A 6,000-nucleotide genomic window follows, 5' to 3' on the forward strand; every position below is an offset into this window, starting at 1 on the left:
AATTATAATCCCCAGTGTTGCAGGGGCGGGCCTGGCGGGAGGTGATTGGATGACGGAGGCAGATTTCCACCTTTGGTGCTATTCTTGTGATAGTGAGTGAGTTCTCACAATATCTAGTTGTTTAAAAGTGTGTAGCGCCTCCCCGCATGCTTCTTCCTTTTGCTCCGGCCATGTGAAAACATGCCTGCTTCTTCTTCACCTTCTGCCATGATTGTAAGTTTCCTGAGGCCTTCCCGGCCATGCTTCCTATAGAACCTGCAGTACTGTGAGCCAATTACACTACTTTTCTTTAAACCAGTCTCAGGTATTTCCTTATAGCAGTGTGAGAACTGACTAATCCATAACTCTAGTGTCTAACAAAGGGTCTGGCACAGAGTGTTGGTGTGATGAATGAATGAACACATGTACCAATTTGGTTAGAGGAAAAAGCCTTTTCACCGTATGTAGCTTATGGTCAATGCTCTTATCCCTAGGGTTTTGCTCTCATGGCCCAAGCTATTTCACACCACATCCCATCCCATGCGACAGGATGGAGGAAGGAAGGGAGAGGAGGGGAACGGCATGCCATCTCCATTTAAAGATTCAGCTGGGAAGCAACGTGCATCATTTTACTCCATCCCATTGCCCAGAACTTAGTTGTGTGGCTTAACCACAAGGAAATCTGGGAAATGTAGTCTTTATTCTGGATGGCCATATTTGCGCCTAGCTAAAAACCAGGTGTGTGCGAGGGGTTCTATTTCCATGAAGGAGATAGGAGAACAGGTATTGATGTCCAACTAGCGCCTCTGCCACAGTGGGGCTTCGGAATAAGGCAGATGTGATTTCAAATCTCAGCTTCTCAGCTCTGTGATCTCAGCAAGTCACTAGACCTCTCTGAGCCCAACCCTCTTCATCTATAAAATGGGAAGGGTCATGAGGGTTGGATGGCATAACTTGCACGCAGCACTTTACGGGGGATTAAATGTCTGTCGCTCTCCTCTTTTCCCTCCAGCGAAAGGACTCATGCTTGAATTCTAGCCCTGTCTCTAAGGTTCTATGTGACCTAGACTCCTGGGTCCTCTTGCTGGAGGAAGAGGTATTTAAGGCTTGGCTGGAGGATCACTTAGCGGGAAGTTGAGAAGGAGATTTAAGATCATATAGGGGGCTGGACGCAAAGATCTGAACCTGAGATTATAGTATAGGTTTTTGACACCTGGGGTGAGTGTGTGTTGAGTGTTATGAAGCTTCTCCCGGGACAGCACACACACATGTTGCCCTACTCAGGCAAAACAGATAGACTTGAACAACAGCTTCTCTGTTCAGATACTGCAGGGATGTACCTCCAGTTCCACTATTTGAGTGTCACTTGTTTGTGTATATGGCTGCCTTGTTCTGGACTGAAAGCTCCTGGGAGCAGGAAAAATCATTATATTTATTGAGCAGCTGTTATTTGCCACTTGATTTATATTTTCTTGTTTAGTTCTCACTACCACCTAGCAAGAACAGTTTTATTGTCCCCATTTTGCAGATGGGGAAATTGAGGCTCTGAGTTTACTAGAGTCACCTGTCTCTCAGTAGCAGAGCCAGAATCTGAGCCCCAAACTGCATCATGAGAGCCCATTTTCTTCCTCCTGCACCATGCTCCCATTGCCTTGTTCATTTCCAAATCCCCAGCTCTCAGTATGGTTTCTAGAGCACAGGAAATGTTTAATGAATTCTTAAAATAGAGAAAGCCTTGTCGCCGGGAGTGGTGGCTCATGCCTGTAATCCCAGCACTTTGGGAGGCTGAGGTGGGTGGATCATTTGAGGTCAGGAGTTTGAGACCAGCCTGGCCAACATGGTGAAACCCTGTCTCTACTGAAAATACAAAAAGTAGCCAGGCATGGTGGTGCATGCCTGTAATCCCAGCTATTCGGGTGGCTGAGCACGAGAATCGCTTGAACCCCGGGAGGTGGAGGTTGGAAGCTGCAGTGAGCCGCGATTGCGCCACTGAACTCCAGCCTGGGAAACAGAGTGAGACTGTCTCAAAAAAAAAAAAAAAAAAAAAAAAAGAGAAAGCCTTGTGTGGACCAGAGTTGAGCGGAAGGGGAAGAGGTGTTAGGCTCTCCTACCCCCATCCCTGAGCACCTCTCACTCCATTCCTGACGAGGCAGTTCTCCAGTTTCCTGGGGGTTGCTTCATGCTAGGTCCAGATGACCCAAAGGTGGGGAATGTGGCTCAGCTGTAAGCTTGGATCCTTTCCCAGAGCACAGCTAGCTTCAGGCTAGCTGTGACAAAGTCTTTGTTACAGCTCCCTGGGGCTTGTTCTTGGAGCTCCCCACCCCGGGCACTCCCTAGCTCCCAGAACTTTCTCCCTGCCTTTCCCTCCCTCCCTCCCTCCCTCCCTTCCTTCCTTCCTTCCTTCCTTCCTTCCTTCCTTCCTTCCTTCCTTCCTTCCTTCCTCTCTCTCTTTCTTTTTCCTTCCTTCCTTCCTTCTCTCTTTCTCTCATTCTTTCTTTTTTTTCTTTTTTCTTTTTTTTTTAGACAGAGTCTCGCTCTGTCGCCCAGGCTGGAGTACAGTGGCGCGATCTCGGCTCACTGCAAGCTCCGCCTCCCGGGTTCACGCCATTCTCCTGCCTCAGCCTCCTGAGTAGCTGGGACTACAGGCACCTGCCACTAGGCCCGGCTAATTTTTTATATTTTTAGTAGAGATGGGGTTTCACCGTGGTAGCCAGGATGGTCTTGATCTCCTGACCTCGTGATCCGCCCACCTCAGCCTCCCAAAGTGCTGGGAATACAGGTGTGAGCCACTGCGCCCGGCCTCTTTCTCTTTCTCTCTCTCTCTCTTTTTCTTTTTCTCTTTCTTTCTTCCTTCCTTCCTTCCTTCCTTCCTTCCTTCCTTCCTTCCTTCCTTTCTTTCTTTCTCTCTTTCTCTCTCCCTCCCTCCCTTCCTTCTTTCCTTCTTTCTGTCTCTCTCTCTCTCTTTCTTTTCTTTTCTATATAGAGACAGAGTCTTGCTTTGTTGGCCAGGCTGGTATTGAACTCCTGGCCTTGAGTGATCCTCCGCCCTCAGCCTCCCAAAGTGCAGGGATTACAGGAATGAGCCACCATGCCAGGGCCCTTTCTCTTCTTTCTGCTTCACTGAAACTTAACCATCCTAAATCCTTATTTTAGAAGGAACCAATTTTTGGCTTTATTGGTTCTCTCTATAATATTTTTGTCTTCTGGCTGGGCGTAGTGGCTCATGTCTGTAATCCCAGAACTTTGGGAGGCCATGGGTGAATTACTTGAGGTCAGGAGTTTGAGACCAGCCTGGTCAACAGGGTGAAACCCCGTCTCTACTACAAATACAAAAATTAGCCGGGTGTGGTAGTGCCTGTAATCCCAGCTACTCAGGTGGCTGAGGCAGGAGAATCGCTTGAACCCGGGAGGTGGAGGTTGTAGTGAGCTGAGACCGCGCCACTAGTCTCCAGCCTGGGCAACAGAGTGAGACTCTATCTCAAAAAAGAAAAAAATTGTCTTCTATTGTATTAATTTCTGCTATTATCTTTATTACTTCCTCTACTTTCTTTCTGTTGGATTTACTCTTTCCAATTGCTTGAGATGGAGCCTTAATTGACTATCAGCCTTCCTTCTTTCCTAATGTATACATTTATGCCTACCAATATCCCTCTAAACATAGCTTCAACTGCATCTCACATGCTTTGCTGTTCCACATTTTCATTATCATTTAGTTAAAATTGTCTAATTTCTATTATGATTTCTTCCTTTATCCGTGAGTTATTTAGAAGTGTTTTGCTTAATTTGTAAACATTTGGATATTATCTAGATTCTTTTTTTTTTTTTTAAGATGGAATCTTGCTATGTTGCCCAGGCTGGTCTTGAACTCCTGGGCTTGGACTCCTGGGTCTTGAACTCCTGGGCTCATCATCCTGCCTCAGCCTCCCGAGCAGCTGAGATTATAGGCATGAGAAACCACACCCAGCAGGGGCTATGTATTTTTTCAAAAACATTGATTTCTGGCTTCCTACTTAGTATGCTTTCATTCTCAAAAATTCATTGAAACTTACTTTTAACCCAGGCATGTCAATCATCGTCATACTTTTCTATGGCTGCTGTTTCAAATTCCCACAAACTTAGTGACTTAAAACAACACAAATGGATTATAAGTTTGAAATGGGTCTCCTTGGGGCCAGGAATGGTGGTTCATGCCTGTAACCCCAGCACTTTGGGAGGCCGAGATGGGCGGATCACCTGAGGTTAGGAGTTCGAGACCAGCCTGGGCAACATGGCGAAACCCCGTCTCTACCTTAAAAAAAAAAAAAAAATTAGCTGGGCATGGTGGCGCGCGCCTGTAATCCCAGCTACTTAGGAGGCTGAGGCAGGAGAATTGCTTGAACCTAGGTGGTGGAGGTTGCAGGGAGCTGACATCGTGCCACTGCACTCCAGCCTGGGTGACAGAGAGAGACACCATCTCAAATAAATAAATAAATAAATAAATAAATAAATAAATAAATAAAATAATAAAAATGAAAAACGAAATGTGTCTCATTGGGCTAAAATCGAGGTGTCCCCAGAGCTGCTGTTCTTCATGAGTCTCTAAAGGACACTCCGTTTCCTTTCCTTTTCTGGCCTCTAGAGGTTTCCCAAATTCCTTGGCTCACAGTCCCTTTGCATGTTTAAAGCCAGCAGTGGCCGGTTGAATCTTTCTCATGCAGCATTTCCACTATTTGAGTATCACTTGTTTGGCACTCCCTCTTCCACATCTAAGGACCCTTACAATTTCATTGGGTCTATCCAGATAAGCCAAGTTAATCTCCTTATCTCAAGACTACCTAACTAACAGCCTTAATTCCATCTGAAACATTTCCCTTTGCATGTGACATATTTACAGCATCTGTGCATTAGGATGTAGACATCTTGGTGGCGGGACATTTGTTTGTTTGTTTCTTTTTGAGATAGTCTTGCTTTGTCACCTAGGCTGGAGTGCAGTGGTGCAATCTTGGCTCACTGCAATCTCTGCCTCCCAGGTTCAAGCGATTCTCCTACCTCAGCCTCCCAAGTAGCTGGGATTATAGGTGTGCACCACCACACCTGGCTAATTTTTGTATTTTTAGTAGAGACGGGGTTTCACCATGTTGGCCAGGCTGGTCTCGAACTCCTGACCTCAGGTGATCCACCCCCCTCAGCCTCCCAAAGTGTTAGGATTGCAGGCATGAACCACCATGTCCAGCCCAGTTTGGGTAAATTTTTCACGTGCAATTGAAAAGAATATCTATTCTGTAGTTGCTCTATTAGGTCAAATTTGTTCAATCATTTTGCCAAATTTTCTATAACCACACTGGATATAATTTTTTTGTTTTTTGAGACAGAGTCTCCCTCTGTCACCCAGGCTGGAGTGCAGTGGTGCGATCTCCGCTTGCTGCAACCTCCGCCTCTTGGGTTCAAGTGACTCCCCTGCCTCAGCCTCCTGAGTAGCTGGGATTACAAGCATGAGCCACCGTGCCCGGCCAGATGTAAAATTTTTTTCTGCCTCTCCCTCTCCCTCTCCCCCTCCCCCTCCCCCTCCCCCTCCCCCTCCCTCTCCCTCTCCCCACGGTCTCCCTCTCATGCGGAGCGGAAGCTGGACTGTACTGCTGCCATCTCGGCTCACTGCAACCTCCCTGCCTGATTCTCCTGCCTCAGTCTGCCCAGTGCCTGCGATTGCAGGCACGCGCCGCCACGCCTGACTGGTTTTGGTGGAGACGGGGTTTCGCTGTGTTGGCCGGGCCGGTCTCCAGCCCCTAACCGCGAGTGATCCGCCAACCTCGGCCTCCCGAGGTGCCGGGATTGCAGACGGAGTCTCGTTCACTCAGTGCTCAATGGTGCCCAGGCTGGAGTGCAGTGGCGTGATCTCGGCTCACTACAACCTACACCTCCCAGCCGCCTGCCTTGGCCTCCCAAAGTGCCGAGATTGCAGCCTCTGCCCGGCCGCCACCCCGTCTGGGAAGTGAGGAGTGTCTCTGCCTGGCCGCCCATCGTCTGGGATGTGAGGAGCCCCTC

The sequence above is a fragment of the Homo sapiens genome, chromosome 22 (assembly GCF_000001405.40).
Source record: "Homo sapiens chromosome 22, GRCh38.p14 Primary Assembly".
In the NCBI taxonomy this organism is placed as follows: Eukaryota; Metazoa; Chordata; class Mammalia; order Primates; family Hominidae; genus Homo; species Homo sapiens.